Source organism: Homo sapiens, chromosome 6 (assembly GCF_000001405.40).
Source record: "Homo sapiens chromosome 6, GRCh38.p14 Primary Assembly".
Lineage (NCBI taxonomy): Eukaryota > Metazoa > Chordata > Mammalia > Primates > Hominidae > Homo > Homo sapiens.
In genome coordinates, this window is record NC_000006.12 from 138,923,167 (window position 1) to 138,941,154 (window position 17,988).

A 17,988-nucleotide genomic window follows, 5' to 3' on the forward strand; every position below is an offset into this window, starting at 1 on the left:
ATTTATAAGAATACCTTTAAGATATTAAGTTATATGTTGGTTATAAAAACATGGCTTTAGGAGCAACTCTACTATTTTCTTAATTTACATTTAATACCAGAAATAACTGTTAAGAAAATCAGAATTTACCTTTATAAGGCAAGATCAAAGGAGAAAAAAATGATAGTTCATGAGAAAATAAGTCTTATTCCAAATACAAAGCAAATTAGAAATTTTAAAAAAGAAAAACTTCTTAGATGCTTTAATTCATAACATTCATCTAATCTATATTCGACGTATGTGTATGTGTATATAAAATCAGATTTATAAAGCTTGGAACAGCTGGGAATGTTAACTAGCATTTTCATATATTTGCAGTGCAATCAATCACAGCAAAGACTAACGCATTACACTTCTCATCCACCTACAATTTTCCTGTGTTTTCATTCATGTATATCCTAGCAGAAGCAGATTCTACCAAAGGCTACTAACTGACAAGCAGTTCAAGAAAAGAGATCAAGTTTCTGGAAACAAGACCATCAGAATCTCAATTTCATCAGAACTATGAAAGCTTAATAACTAACCATCTGGTTTGCAAATGGGGTCACTGCACTGTGTAGTGGTTGTCTCTAAATGCTACAGACCAGTTTGGAACTTTGCACTGACTTTTACTGAGCAAATGGCTAATTATTACAATTTAGTTTCTTTTTAATAGTCTGTTAAATATTTCCAATACTGTAAGAAATGTTAAATTCATAATAGAAGAGTAGAGTTTTTCCCCCCAGGTGATTCCCTTGTAATCTGAATGTGCCTTATTTACTTACTTATAATCCTTATTTATATAAAGCCTTGCAAAGGATCATGTGGGATTGTGGCTACAGGCTGTAGTGGGTCTGTAGATGGGTAATACTTCAGGTAAGTATCAAATGAAGGTTAAGAAACTTAGACACTGTAGGACACAACTAAGAGAAAGCAGGCTACTCTTCTAACCGAAAATTTAAAGTAAGAATACTGGTTGGGAAACAAAGTTCAGATTTAAGTTTGCCAACATAAAATAAATATTTCTAGGCATTAGATTATAAACATAAATATTTAAGAATGACAATTTTTTAAAATCCAATTCAGAGGTCTAAATTCAAGTTTAAAATGCAAATTAATCACTCTATTTTCCTAGAGCCTCCTGACACACTAGAGATAACAAAGGAAAGTAATGAGCCACATAATTTTAGACACTAGAGCTGCAAATCTGAATATTATTTCCAAGAAATGTCAATAATATCACTGCTACTCAACCAACTATTTCTCTACATTTCCTGTCAGTCGTAGGTCAATTTATTTCGCTTCTGAGTTCTAGATTTTTATACATAATGTTCTTGCCTGGCCTGACAAAGAATCATAATACTATGAGTGATTATTGTCACTATTTTTTAAGGGTTAGAGAATATAATAGTTTCTTTATTGCTACATCTAACCTTCCTTCCCATATACTTTCATTAAGTACTTTCATATTAGCTTAACTGTACAATAATGAGACAGGAATAATATAGAGAATCAAAACTTAAAGCTTAAAGGCAAAACTTTAAACTTAAAAAGAAAACAAAGATAAAACTTCTAATTTACAGAACTTGTCAATTCCTAAGAGATCTTAATTATAGCTGCCAATAAGCAGCAAAGTTTTCAATCATTGCCTTGTATTTCTCCTACATTTTTCAGAGACTAAAATAAAAAATAAATGCCTTAAATGTAGCAAGAAATGAGGAGCAAAAGGCAGAGATAATCTACATATCAACTGGTCCTTGAATACTTAATAGACAATAAAATAAACATTTTAAAATTGTACATTATCTGTTTGAATTCAATAAATGTAACAGCAGCCTCTAGATTTCATATAAATTCTTTAAAATGATAAAAGACATCAGGCCAGGTGTGGTGGCTCACACCTGTAATCCCAGCACTTTGGGAGGCCGAGGTGGGTGGATCACTGGAGGTCAGGAGTTCAAGATCAGCCTGGCCAACATGGTGAAACCCCGCCTCTACTAAAAAATACACACACACACACACACACACACAAATTAGCCAGGCATGGTGGCGGACACCTGTAGTCCCAGCTACTCGGGAGGCTAAGGTAGGAGAATCGGTTGAACCCAGGAGGCAGAGGTTGCAGTGAGCTGAGATCGCACCACTGCACTCCAGCCTGGGCGAAAGAGAGAGGCTCCAACTCAAAAAACAAAAACAAAAAACAAACCACATCAAAGGCCCATTAACTGCTAATGGTATACTTTATCTTTAAATGCCACTTCTTCAAAATCTCTTTAGATGACAAGACCATTTTTACATTTAATTAATAAATGCTGGCTGTCTTTGATCAGATCATCTAGAAAGAACGACTTATGTCATTTTCTCCATATCTTTCTACTCAGCTCATTTTAAAAATTCTGCCTTTACACATTTCTTCACTTTCTGCTTACTCCCTCTTTTCTTTTTGGAAAGTGCTTATTAGCACATCCTTGTCTTAAAAAAAAAAAAAAAGACAGAGAGAGAAAGAAAAAGAAAAAGCAGAGAAGTGAACAGGGAGAAGAACGATTAACAGCTAAGGTTTTCAAAAAACCCAAGGGACAGGTGTAGCATATATTAAATTAACTCTATGGGGACAGAATTTATTTTTTAAATCAGGATATGAACTTTGTAGCATTTTCAAAGCAACACAGTAAGCCACAAGAAGACAAGACAGAGGCTCCTTTGCATAAGCGGAATATTTGACCAACATCTTGTATTGCTGAACTTGATTCTCTCTAACAGGACTCAACATACTAATTAAATAAAAGCCATGTCATTTGGCATGTCAAAATAAAAGATGACATTGCATAAATAGTTACATATGTAGGACATATTACATGATGTGTAAGCATACAGATAATACATAAAGAGTCACTACACTGAAATAAACAGTATGTATATAAAATATACACTTAATTAGCAAATGATAAGGTTAACAAAATAGATTGTCACAAAAAATGCTTCTCTAGACACATGTACCAGATTTTAAAAACGTAGTTTTCTCTCAACAAAATAACTAGAAAAAAGGAATGGCAAAAAATGTCTTTCCCACCATTAAGCACACAAAAACCAAAAAGCCTGCCGCCACTTCCCTCTAAGCACTCCACTGAATCATGCATATCAGCTAAAAACGATAATGAATGGAAATTTGGGTTAATAAAATTAATCTCAAACAAGCAAGCTAAGTGATTGACTTACAGGATCAGCTGGTGCAATGTTAGAATCAAATTGGGTCAGAGTTTGTGAGCTTGAAGAGCGTTCACTAAATGTCTCCCACTGCTGAACAGACAGAGGAGAGACAAGTCAGCATGATGAGAAAGATGGAGTAAAAGATCACTGGAGAAGATTTAGCAAAGTAATTCAGAGGTTGCACTGCAAGTTGTGTTTCATAGGTTTAACAAAATTCAGTAATTTCTATTTTTCCGTCAACATTTTATATTTATTCTGGGTCACTTGTAATGTAAGGTGAGGAGTTCACAATCAAAAGTATAGTAATGATTTATTGCAATCTCTATGGAAGAGATTTAAAGCCTTACAGAGTTAAAATAAAACACAATACAGGAGCAAAGTCTAAGTGATATAAATGTCCACCAAGTAAAAATGCTAAAGAGGCATGCCTTGACTAAAGAAAGAAAGAATAACATCAAATTCTTCTTTGAACATTCAAATGTTAATGTACTGATTTTGTGATCCTAATGAATCAAAGTTTTGTTCAAAACAAAGCAAGTCAGTGCGACTTGCCAGTGCGACCCCTGAAAGATGATTCTATTATGTACGTGCACATATTTTACACATATGTATAGATATTTAATAAAATATAATTGAGATAAAATGCAAAGAATTCTGGAATTAATATATGTAGAGCTTATGTCAATCTGTAGCAAGTCAACCCCTGCAATCAGCACTACAAACAGGGCCATGCCAGACCACAAGACAGAACTGCCAATCAGACACCCCCGCTTCCCCACTCCCTACCCCATGCTAGAAAAATCAGAATGCGGCCACAATGAGAGCAAATCAAGCATCTGAGCATGAGTTATATACAGATGTATTTTGATATGAAATACTACTCTTCTAAAAGAGGTACACAAAAAAAATCATACCTCTTAAAACAGGTGGAGTGATAAGTCAATATTAATTACAGTAAATTCCATTTGTTTTGGAGATCTTAGTAATAAAATGGTATAGAATTTTTACATTAAAATTGCATTAAAATTATCATTTAAATCTGATTCTTAAGAATTATCAGTTATCCTCTAAAGAGGAAAAAACATCTACACACATACAATGTATACACACGAATATTTACACAAAGACAAAACTACCCCATAAACCAAAATCCTCTTTGGGAAAGTATACATTTTTATGCTTCAAAGTTCAACTTACTATTTAAAATAGTGACATTTAAGTTGAGAAGATATGTAAAAATTAAATATTAGCAAATGAGCACACTGGTGAAAATTACCTACAAAAACGGCTAATACAATAATTCAACGACTTTTCCTACAGATTAGTTTTCATATGAAAATTAAGATATTCTGAGAAATACTGATCCAAAGTATTTCATGAATTAAGAATCCCACAATAATTACTTTTATCATGCGGCATCACTTCAGGAAAGTTACTTATCAATATCTGTTAATATAATTAGTTTTTTCCTCAATAATTATTGTTACAGGGACACAGAAGGAAGTTTTAAAATCCTAATTAACTAACTGTGGAGAAAAGTTTACAGAAGATTTTTGCCAAAAAGAAGGTATTTACTTGTGTACCTCATTTGGGTGGCATGAAGTTTAACTTTGTTTCACAAGACTGCATGTAAGTTACCTGGAGGACAAAGGGACTCTCTTATCATCTTCATACTTAATTTTTAAGGGCTCACAGCTGTGGAACCAGACTACTGGAATCCCAGTTACGCTGTGCAAACTTGGGCAAGTTGTATAACTTCTCTGTGCTTCAGTTTCTCCATCTGTAACATATTATCTACCTCATAAGATTGTTCAGAGGACTAAAGGAGTTAATATATATAAAGAGTTTGTTTTTGTATTGTTTTTTAAACAGAACTGACATATCAAAAGTGCTCCATAAAGGTTAGAGATTATTAGGGTCATCTCCTATACTGTCTTATCCGTAACCACAGGTGCTAAATAAATCTATGTTGAAAGATTACTAGTGCTTTCTGGAAGACAATTAAAATGTAATCTAAATTCCATATCCTAACTAGATATTTTTAGAAATATCATTAGATGTCTCAAAATCAATGATTTATTAACATTTTGATTTTTCACATATCGAAAAAAAATTATGACATTCATGACCTCATTACCAAATACTATAAATAAAACTTTATGGGAATATTTAAGTAGGGAAAATGCAAGTACTACTACCTGAATTTAGAAGGGACTTCCATTTCTGTCTCTAATGATCACATACGATTTTATTTAGAATGAACATGGGCTTTAGATTTGAGATGCTTTAGAAAGAATGTTTTTATTTACAAACTGATATCAATGGAATACAAATATTCTTTTAATGTAATACTGGTTTTTAAAAAAGACACAAGATGAATAGATGCAGCAAAAATAGTAGTGTCTCAACAATTACCTTACTTTCCATAAACCCTCTCTATTAGCAAATTCTTTCAAGGTGTAATCCCTTCATCTAGAAAAACACTTGTATTAATGGTTTTGCATCCAATAGTAGGATGGATGGTGTGATGTTATAATGTCTCAGACACAAGTATCCTGGCTGCAATTATGTCATAAAGCAGGAAATAGTATAAAACCACCAGTTAGTTCTGTTTTCCAACTGTCCAAAATTATTAATATCTAGCATGCTCTTTAATCCAGCATTTTTCTGGCTTTAAAAGGCATGGAAAGGACAGAAGCTTAAAATTTCTTCCTGAAAGTGAACAAACTTTTGTATTTTTAGCATTTCCTACATGCTACAAAAAGAAAAAAAATAAGAAAAAAACGTAACTTGTTCACAAAGAAAACTGCTCTAATAGGCTACAGCAATGGTTTCCAAATGGAGCTCTCCAGGGCACTAAAATTTAACAGAGGGGCCTAAGCAGGTGTTTTAGGGGAGGCAGGGCCTCAGGTCCTCTTCCCTTATTCTGATCAGTGGCCCTTTTGATGCTTTACATAATGGAATTTCAAATAAATTGGGGAACAGTGCATGTGTCCCAAATTCCATTTTGCATACTGTGCTTGGTCATATATGACACATCTTAATGCAGTTAATATGGCTAAACATTCTATATTGAAGAAAACTAATTATACAGAGTTTTCAGGTTGTAAAACATACTTTCTTCATATGGAAACTGAATCAGTCACTTATTTTATCATTTCCAATGCTAAGATCCCAAATGTACTATTACATACCTTGTTTACAGGACTGAGAAGGCAGTGTGACACAGTGGATGTGGCAGTTGACTAGATATCAAAGGACTTACGTTCAAATCCTAGCTCTCGTCCCTCACTGGATATGAGATCTTGGCCAAGTCATTTACCTTTTGATGGTTAAACTTTCTGAATCTGCCTCTCTAAACTCACAAGGTTTTAATGGGGATAAGTGGTGGAAATCAAATGACAGAATATATACTTTGAAAACCTCGAAAAAGTCACATAATTACAAACATTTATCATAGTATATCTGATATGTTCTCTCAATTATGCATGCATGCTGGAAGAGACAGACTGAAATTGCCCTCTTTGGAACATCTTACCTTAAAAGAGTTAACTTTTAATGAAAGAAAAGGAAAGCTTTGCTAACCTCACTGCTCTGATTCAGCTCAGGCCATGTCTGGTTTAGTGATGGCATCGATGGTGACTTGCTTGGAGGAGCTTCAGCAGGAGAGCCTGAATAACCTACCTCACCTGGCTGATCCCCAACATCTGCAATTTAAAAATAGAGAAATTCTCTATAAAGACTACATTGTAGTTTATTTTAGGCATATTTACTTATTAAAAAAAAGCCAACCGATGATTTTCATAAGTAGTAATATATAATCTAAATCTCCTTTCCTCATGTTCTCAGAGTAAGCATTTTAACAGACATTACTTATTCCTGCTACTTATGGTCTACTCAAAACCACAGCTTTTCATGAAAATAAAATCTAGTTAGGAATAAAAAGAAGGTTATACATAATAATATTGCAATAGGTCACATGCTTTAAAATAATTTTCTGATAACAGAAATAGATTTATACCAGTTTCCCAAAGTGTATTCTATTCCATGGAATACTCATCAGTAAGGTGGCTTTGAAAAATTAGGTTTTCTGCTCAAGTAAGTTTGGGGAAACAATAATTCTCTGTTGGAGCATCCGTATGCACATTTGTATATCAAGACTTGTGATGTCTCAAAGTTTAAAATAAGCTTTGTTTAAATCACTTTTTTTTTTCCAGACACACATCCTTTTCATCAAATAAAATCCTTCAGTATTCCCTTGGAATATACTTTGGGAACTGCCAATTTATACTAATTCACTCATATATCCTCTACAAATCTCCCTTGTTAACAAAAAAACAGAACATACTTGCAAGGCACAAAGCAGAAGGAGAGAGTCCCCAGCCACGGGAAAAAAGCAAAGTCAATAAGCTCTGTCTGAAACTTAACTTTTATTATTAAGCTCACTAGCACTTACAGACTTAACTGAGATAGTTACAAATCCATTATACTATTTCAAAATGGTTTTTAAAGTATTTTGAGGTATCATATTCTACTTTTAAGCATAGTTAAGCTTAATTTAAAATAACTCTAAATTATATTTAAAAACAGAAGGAAATTTCAAAGGTCACTAAACTCTCATTCCGATTCTTCCAAGCTGGCTTTGAATATAACCCCAGTCAACAGGGAGTACCTAATCGGTTTAGAACTCATATCAAAAATATCATTACAATATCATTGTGTCTGACCATGGGCAAGTTGAATGAAACAGCACCTGAGTTTCTCCATCAGAAAGACAGCTGCCATTAAATGTTAGCACTATACTTCAGATTTCTAAATAGACATCCATATAATATAAGCTAGCAATGTATAGCTTTTAACTTCTCAATCTATTCATCAGTAAATCCTTTAAGTTTTAGTGCCTAACATAGGGCCTAATACATACGGGCACTCAGGTATTTACTGAATCAGTTGCCTTGTGTATTCTTTTTTATTTAACTTCATTCACCTTTACTGCCATTTTCCTAAGACCACAATTAAGTACTGACAGTTGAAAAAGTTCTCCAAATGTCCTTTCTGCTATTGTTACATGCCTCCCTCAAAATATTTCCTTTTTACTTACCCAGACGTTATACCTTTATAATTATACCACATTGCAAGTTCTAATCTGCAGTCCAGAATTGTATTCTGATTGATTTTTGTTTTCTAAGATCAGAAATTATTTCTTTCTTAAGTCCTATATCTTCTCAATAGAAGTGTCTGGGTAGTACAGAAGTAGGAAGACTTCACATATTATTCTATGAAGACCTCAACTCAAAGTTCTTAGAGAAGAACTTATGAAAAAATTATTTAGGATAAACAATAGTAGCAAATTCCTCATTGGATAGTTTTCATTGGGAAAAAAAAATTATGAAACTTTATCCCCAGTGATAACAAAGGGAAAGGGAAACAGTAGCTATAAATTTGACAATATACTGAAAGTGAAAGTCTACCAGGAGAATAATAAAGAAGTATCTTCAAGGGATTCCCCAAAGCAGGTGAGTACTGAAGAAAATAAACAGAATTAAAACAGTATTAACTACAAGATGACTAATTTTCGAAAGAATTTATTTAAAGCAAGACTCTATTACTTTATTTTTAAACATCAATCTTAGGGCAATCTGCAAGTCCTGGTTGGGTTTTCAAGACCACAGTTCTCATGATTTCTTCTACTGACAAATTTAGGGCCAAGCTGTACCACACCCCCACCTCAGGGCAGTTATGATTTGGGACAGATTCTGGGAATATTTCTGGTTCACTGGTACAAAGCTGAAGTGGGTCTAGCTGCTTGAGGCTGCAAAGTGAAATGCTAGTCACCCAAATAATTATACTTTACCGCTATTTCAATAGAGTTATTTTCCTAGAGTTGTAGACCTCAAACTGTGGACCACAGACCCCTAAGAGTCCCCAAGACTCTTTTAAAAGAGACCTGAAAGGTGAAAACTATTCTTGTAATAATGCTTTTCCCATGTTGACATTTGCACTGAATCAAGGCAGTGGCGACAAAATATAGTTATTGTATTCTTCACTTACAGTTATTGTATTCCTTACCCCCCCCCACATACATAAGCATTAAATATAAATAAATATGCATGCTGATCTCACTTATGAATGTTCATGAAGCAGTACAAATTAATTTTATTAAATCTCAGCCCTAAAAACACATCTTCCTCTGTGTGTCAAAATGGGAAATACATACACACAGCATTTCTGCTGCATATGTAAGTACAATGGTTGTCTCAGAGAAAAGTACTTGTGTGATTCAGTTGTAAGCTGAACAAGCCACTTTTTTCGTGGAACACCATTTTTCCTGAAAGAACAGCTGATAATCTATAATAATTCGGACTTGGGTATCGCGCGGGCATTTTTTCAAAAATGAACAAAGTGAGCTTGTCATTTCAAGGAAAGCAATGTTTTCAGTATTTGTTTCCAATGGTTACTAATGACAATGCTGAAGGTTTCAAGGGAAAACTCAAATTTTGGAAAATGTATATCCACGTCCATAATCTCAAGAGCTTCCAGCACTTAAAGGCTTGATATGTTGTGAAATCAGCAAATGCACTTTTTAAATATTTTTATAATGAAAGATGTCAACATCTGAAAGATCTGTGTAACTCAATGAACTGATATTTTACAAATATCCAATGCATTACGGTATAAAATCAAGTTAAAGTACAAAAAAATGCATTAAAGTGGCTTCAGTTTCCACACTGCAAGTAACCTTTAAGAAATACCATTTGTGCTTTGATGTAGTACCAAAGAATAATTACGTTATCTGAAAAAGCCATGAAATAGTCCTTCCTTTTATTGTGTGAGGCTAGATTTAATTTGGAAACTTTTTCTATATTAGGCCAGATAGTAACTATTTTAGGTTTTGTGGCTATAAGGTATCTGTTGCAGCAATTCAGCTCCACCATTATGGTGCAAAGGCAGTCCTAGACAATTCATAAATAAGTGATGAGCACTGCTGTGTTCTAATACAATTTTTATGGACACTGAAATTTGAATTTCATACAATTTTTAATGTGTAATAAAATATTATTCTTTTCATTTCAACAGTTAAAAAGAAAAAATATTCTCAGCTTGTGGGCTAGTCAAAAATGAGCAGTAGGCTGGATCTATCTCACAGGGCTTAGTTTTTAGACCCCTGGTATACCTCAAACAAAACAACATATCCAACAGACAATGTGGAAGCAAATATGACAATTTCGTTGTCTTCTATTAAGACAGATGTAAAAGAAATTTGCAAAAATGTAAAATAATGCCACCCCTTTTACAATTTTTTCTTTAATTTTGGAGAATATGGTTATTTTCCTAAAAATATTTATGCCAATAGGTAATGGATTTGTTATTGCTTTTTTACATAAAGTAAAAACAAAAATTAATCAGTTTTAATTTCTAATAATGTAAGTATTGATAGATTTAACCCATGTAAACAAAGACTCTTGGGGTCCACAAATTTTAAGAATGCCTAAAGGGGTCTTAAGATTTAAAAGTTTGTTCCACATTGAAATAAACGACGACGACAACAACAACAAAAACCAACCAAAGAAAAAAAGATTTAAAAGTTTGAAAAATTGCTGTCCTAGAAAATCCAAAAATTGTTTCTGGGATAAATTAGCAAATTACGCATTGCTTCTTTCCTATGTTCTAGAAACCAAGAGTCTATGGACAACCATTCAGTCTAGAAATAAACTGTACCTCCTTCAACTTTGCTCCAAATAAGTACTCCAACAAAGAGCTTCCTGCCCACCCACAAATGTTAGTCTTTAAGACTGTATTTTTCCGGAGGCAGGGGTGTAGTTTTACTCTTACCTGATGCAGTGTTCCAACCTAGCCTCCTGCTGGAACACTGTGTCAACCCTGCCTCCCTCCTGTGGGTTCTGCTCTGCCCCTGACATCATCAGAGCATCAGGGCTGAAAAAGAAGAGCATGAGCCTAAATTATTCGTTAAAGTTAACCCCAAAAGGGCTGTTACGCAAAAAGTATTTCCACGTACAAAAGTGTGTCTGAAAGAGACAACCCAGTATGATCACACTGACCTACGGCTTATTCTACATTTGTTTTAAGTTTGCAAACACTGGAAGAAGTTTCACCTATCTATCCTTTCAAAGAATCTGGAAAGTTCCCCGATTCAATTCAGTACAGTGTACCTGCTAAACAACCTCTTTCTCAGAGCTTTGTTTTTATTCTAGCTTTGTAACCTACACATCCTAAATTTCTCTTATTTTCTTAGTATTATACTTGATATACTAAAAAATTGTCTCGAAAGTGACTGCTGGCTGTTATTAATCTTACAGAAATATATACACTCCCTTAAAGTCTTACAGTTTAAAACTTATTTTGCTTTCAAGCAGCAAACAAATCTAGAAAGTTATTCAATAACGATGGTTCAATGTTCCAATCTCATTAATAACTTTATCAAGGCAAAAATAACTTTTACTTGAAGAGTATTATTCTTGTAAGAAAAAAATACGGAAAATGAAAAACAATCGAGTGTTCATGACTTTTACGTCTTCAAGGAAAACTACAAATGTTAACTTTTTCATTCATATTTAAAAGACAGGCATAAGCAACGCATATGTAGAAAGATAAAATTTAAGATGTGCTTTGTTTTTTCTTGAATGATATTATATGCATCAAAAAACTAGTAAGTTCTATTTCCAAAATGAACTCCACTTTTCCCCAACACTTCACAAAATGGAAACTTAGTAAGCAGACCTTATGAGGGTCTATGAAACTTATTCGGTAAGACTACCTTAAAAGGGGGTCTATGTAGAAAACTAATTGTTTTCAATTAAAACCAAAGGTTTAAAAAAATCAAAGTAAAAATGTGTCCAACAAGATTTGAAAAGAAACAAAATATTCACCCAAAATTCTTATTAAACTGAACTTGCTGAGTTTTTACAGTATTTATCAACATTTGACAGTACTGCTCAACATCTGACTCAATTATTATAGTTCAAAGAATATTACCTACAATATATAGGAGGTTCCTATTATCCAAAGATAGCTAAACATGGGAAAAAATCCATTTAAAGTTAATCCATTCAAAATAAATACTAAAATTCCATAAAGAGGAAAACAGTTAATTGGAGCTTTGTCTTAAAAATCTACAGAGAAAATAGTGGAAATGGAGTATAAAGAACAAAGAATGAAAGAAAAAGTGGTGGCTCATGCCTGTAATCCCAACACTTTGGGAATGGAAGACCGAGGCAGGCGCTTCACGAGGTCAGAAGCTCGAGACCAGTCTGGCCAACATGGTGAAACCCCGTCTCTACTAAAAATACAAAAATTAGCCAGACATGGTGGCGCATGCCTGTAATCCCAGCTACTCGGGAGGCTGAGGCAGGAGAATTGCTTGAACCTGGGAGGGGGAGGTTGCAGTGAGCCAAGATCACACCGCAGCACTCCAGCCTGGGCAACAGAGCAAGACTCCATCTTGGCGGGGGGGGGGGGCGCGGGGGAGTGGTGGCCAGGGAGAAAGATAATGTTACTTTTTTTGGGGGTATAATTTGGTGGCAAAATTAAAAAGCACTAATTGAGTCAGTGAACATTTACTGAGGGTCTATAGGGTTCCAGGCTCTCAAGATCCAGTACTGAACAAGACAAGGGTACCATTCCCATGGAGTTCTCTAACAGAGGAAGACAGAGATGTTCATCTTTCATTCACTTTCGACTTTCATAGCACAATTGCAAAGGAAAAAGGTCACTTCTACAAAAAATAATTATGAGTATCATTAATTACTCCCAAGGACACTTACTAATCCGCTGAATTTGAAATCATAATCTTTTTTTTTAGAGACAGGGTCTCGCTTTGTCACCCAGGCTAAAGTGCAGTGGTGAGATCATAGCTTACTGTAACCTCGAACTCCTAGCCTCAAGTGATCCTCCCACCTTGGCCTACCAAAGCGCTTCTGGGAGCCACTGTGCCTGACCAAAACCATAATCTTTTAAAGCTCCTACTATTGCTATCACCCTCATAGAGTTTTTGCCCTTCAAGTATTATCTGCCCTTGCTTGTCAATGTCTTTGTCAGGATTTGAGTTCTATTTATTTTGACCAATTTCATTAAATGGTGTATCTTTACTAATATCTGTAATTCAACTGTACTGATTTATCAGATACAACAGCCAAATATCTGGAAAGAAATGACACACGACAGAGAGAGACGGCAGGGTGGGGGGGGAGACAGACAGGGACAGAGTATGTTTGGGGGGGGGTAGAGGTGGGAGGTAATTTCTTAATTAGAAAGCTAATGACAAGCATTAGTGCGTATTTTCATTATTTTTTCCTCTGCAACTAAGGGTATCTGAATAACGAATTTTCAAAAACAAAGATTCTAGGTTATTTGTACAAAACAAAGATATACATATAAGCATGTTCACTGCAGCAGTGTTTTAAAGATAAAGCCAGAAAACAACCCCAAAATCCATCAATAAGAAACTGGTTAAATTAAGGTACATCATATTATGGAATACCTTGAATCATAAATGTGATAGCTCTATATATTATTCTATTAGTCCATTTTCACATTGCTGACAAAGACATACCAAGACTGGGCAATTTACAAAAGAAAGAGGTTTAATGGACTTACAGTTCCACATGGCTGGGGAGGCTTCACAATCATGGTGGAAGGCAAGGAGGAGCAAGTCACATCTTACATGGATGGCAGGAGGCAAAGAGAGAGCTTGTGCAGGGAAACTCCCCTTATAATACCATCAGATCTCATGAGACTATTTACTATCATGAGAAAGCATGGGAAAGACCTGCCCCCATGATTCAATTACCTCCCACCGGGTCCCTCCCACAAACATAAGAATTCAAGATGAGATTTGGGTGGGGACACAGCCAAACCATATCAATTATAAAGTATAAAGATGTCCAACATTATAAGAAAAAAACAATGAAGGATGTATAGTATGATTGCGTCTGTATAAACACCAATACCTGTGTGTAGGTTTTTATATATATGTTAAAAATTTCTGGATGAATATAAGAGAAACTCTTAACAGTGATTTACTTGCACCAAGGTAATCTCAAATCTGAATTTATGTGGATTTCTAGTAAACTCTTCATGGAAAGTCTTCATGTGCCTTCTCTTCTCTGGCTTAAAAAAAATTCGTGTTGGAAGTACTTCTCAGAGTTTGTAGATCCATGCAACGCACCCTAACAATGAAACATGTGCCCAAATCTACTGTGTAAAGTAGGGATCATGCAGAAGGAGATGGAGACAGGGAAGCACACATCCCTTTCCTTCTTTCAGCATCTCAGAGACTGCTGAGTTGCACATGTGAGCAGTGTGGTGTAAAGGTAGAAAACAGTTAAAAATCATTGGCTCAGTCATTTAATCATTTCAACAATGTGAATGTCTGTCTATTCCTGTACTCAATTTGCACCTTGCTAGGCACTGAGATATAATGAACAAAAGTGATCCAGTTCCTACCTTCCTAGAAGGCTCTAGTCTGAGAGAAAGATATGTATCAAACAACCACAGAAGTACATGTAAAATTGCAACTGTGCTTTGCAAAGGAGAAGATTCTTTAGATATTAAAATGTAGAGTACCTCAACGTGTTTGTAGCAGGTCATCTTAATCTTTTTTTTTTTTAAAGAAGACAAACATTCTTAAAAAGCTAAATATTCTTTAATTCAGCTTCAGAAAGCTCTTTCTGCAGATGAATTTTTGTATGCTTTCTTTTGTAAAACAACAAAAATCAAGTCTCCCTTTCTATTTTAGCTGTTAAATTCAGTGCTGATGTTATTAAATATTCTAATTCAGGTCGACAGAAGTACTTCTGCCTATGAACCTTAGTAGTTCTATTTTATCTATGCATACCTGTTCAAGCAATTTTGGAAAAAATGCACATTTACCCCAACCATGTTTGCATGCCTATAGAAAGCCTAGCATGTTACTCCAAGGAGCTGTAACTCAAATGACCACTGCTCACCATCTATTTGCTTCTTAAGAGTTAAACTTTAAGTATAGAATATTTGTGGAACTAATGTTTCAGTATGTTCCAACATCATAAACCTAGGGTAACAAATCGCTGTATTTTCAAAGGTAGAAAAACGTCAAGAAAAATATCTTCCTTTGAAAATGGCACACATGTAGAATTAATTCATCCAATATTAGTGCAGTGCCTGGCAAAGTTGTATGTTTTGAGCATACTACAATAAATAGGATACATTTCCCTTGTTTCAAGGAATTCAGAGTACAGTGATGGGGGAAAAAAAACAAAACAGGATTTAGTGTGGTATGTTTCAGTAATTAGCATGTAGAAAATGCTATGAGAGATCAGAAATGAGAGAAACCACCTCTGCCTATAGTCAGAAAGGCTCCACAGAGGAATATTTACAATAAATTCTAATGTCAGCCGAAAGAAACTATTTGAGTATTATCCTCTTAACCGTGACCTTTTAAAAACACAGCTATTTTTATAATTTTTTTTTTTTTTTTAGATGGAGCCTCACTCTGTCACCCAGGCTGGAATGCAGTGGCGTGATCTCGGCTCACTGCAACCTCCGCCTCCTGGGTTCAAGCAATTCTCCTGCCTCAGCTTCCTGAGTAGCTGGGACAACAAGTGCACACCACCACACCCTGCTAATTTTTTTTATAATGATTTTTATGGATACTGACGGACCCACAGTGTCACAAGACAATTTCTATACTCAAAGGACCTTTTGTCATGTGAATCTCAGGTTTATGATAGGTGGAAGAAAAATGATAAGTTATATTACATCACCCCAGAATCAACAGAATACCAAAATATATCATTTGTAAATATGAAAAGCAGATTTGAATGTAATATAATACCGTGTGATCCAAATGTTTACAACAAATTTGGTCAGAAAACCATATGCTGTGAGGGGGGAAAAAACTATCTGGGTCTGTGATACTTTTAAAATTATATTTAGAGCAACAGTGCACAGATATACACAGGCAATAAAATCAGTCTGTCTTTGTTAAACAGATCTAACAGGTGTAAAATTAGACAAAAAGATAAATGCCCAGAAAAAAATTTCTTCCTGAACCATCAACCTTATAGATCCAATTTACAAAGAACTTGTTTTTTATTTAAATTAAAGGAAAAATTAAATATATGCAAAAGCCAGATTCACTGACAAATATAACAGACGACAGAATCAGACAAGCCTCTACAAAATCACCTACAAGAGATTAAACTTCATTTAAATTAGTTTCTTGTATTATTGTGCTGTCGGTTTTCAAAGGCTTGAAGTCATATAAAAGCTCTAGGTCCAAGTCCAATTTCTAAATCAATGACACTGAAAGTGTGAAGTTACCACATGTTCTTCTCTTTTGGTTACTATCATAGGTGTTTAACAAAGAAGTTGTTTTTATTTCTTAAGTAGGTAAATTAAAGTACTTTGAATCAAAATTACCTAATAAAGATACTAAGCTTTCAGCTCAAGTCAGAGGCTGACGCTTCACAACTGAAATGATCCCAAAATCCTAGGATTATCATAGAAAAATGTGCTTAAGAAATTAAAATCAATGCCATATTTTTACAATCAACCTATTCGTTGATAAAAGGTCAGTGTACAATTCAGGTCCTGAAATGTGAATGGCATCAAATCCACATTTCAGGTGGAGAAACAGAAGGGAAAAATACAGTAAATGATTAGAACTTGCCCAGGGTCACAGATTAAATTAGCAAAACTAGAAGCACATTCAGATTACTGACTCCAAGGAGACTGTTCTCTTTTGTGACAGTAATTTCATGCATCTGATTCCTTCTGCGTAATTTAGACAACTAAGTCAGACCATGTATATTTTTAGGTTAAAGAGATGCTGCCTGATAGATAAATGCCCATTTGAGACCCAAATTCTATTTGAACTTCCCTTTTAAAAGTATAAAATTCTTTCCATCATCATATACAAATGAGAGTATAGATGGAAACACTGAAGACAGTAATTTATTTTAATTAGGCTCATTAAGAATTAAACATTAGGTTTCCTTTTATTCATTCAGAATTTAAGAAAAATTTACTAATTTTTAGCCCTTGATATTCTTTTTCTTTTTAAAGAAAGGTCCAGGCTGGGCATGGTGGCTCACGCCTGTAATCCCAGCACTTTGGGAGGCCAAGGCGGGCAGATCATGAGGTCAAGAGATAGAGACCATCCTGGCCAACATGGTGAAACCCTATCTCTACTAAAAATACAAAAATTAGCGGGGCATGGTGGTGCGTGCCTGTAGTCCCATCTACTTAAGGAGGCTGAGGCAGGAGAATCGCTTGAACCCGGGAGGTGGAGACTGCAGTGAGCCGAGATCGTGCCACTGCACTCCAGCCTGGTGACAGAACGAGACTCCAACTCAAAAAAAAGAAAAAAGAAAAAAAAAAAGAAAAGGAAGAAAGAAAGAAAGGTCCCAATAAATATGAACATTTAGCATTCTTGTTAACAACACAGCATTCTCTAAAATCATACACAGAAAGTCCAGATTTCTTTAGAGTCTGCAGGAGAGAGCGTGGTATTTTAAAGAAAAATACTTACAACTATAAAGGTCTAATGATGAACCAAGTAATTTCCCTTCAACAAATTAAGATGTATTAAAGAGAAAAATGTTTATAATGAAGATGGGTTACTCTATCCACTCGAGACAATATATATCACAATTAAAGGATGGCAAAATAACAAGACACTGAAATGCTCTTCAAATCTCGGCAAGTCACAAATACAAAGGTAAAATAGTGGTATATATTACTCATCTTTATTTTTAAAAATAG

The 17,988-nt window shown here is 34.6% G+C and overlaps 1 protein-coding gene across 19 annotated transcripts in view; it reads right to left on the bottom strand.

Annotated features, from left to right (window-relative positions):
* Window positions 1-17,988, bottom strand: part of REPS1 (RALBP1 associated Eps domain containing 1) — an 84,761-nt gene that overhangs the window by 19,674 nt on the left and 47,099 nt on the right. For 8 of the 19 annotated variants that reach the window (NM_001286612.2, XM_047419432.1, XM_005267179.5 and 5 more), the window contains exon 9: window positions 6,811-6,932. In NM_001286612.2, coding sequence (NP_001273541.1) covers window positions 6,811-6,932 — 122 coding nt within the window. Of the gene's footprint in view, window positions 1-3,234; window positions 3,316-6,810; window positions 6,933-17,988 lie in introns of all 19 variants that reach the window. The other 11 variants (XM_047419428.1, NM_031922.5, XM_005267178.6 and 8 more) reach the window with 2 other exon arrangements.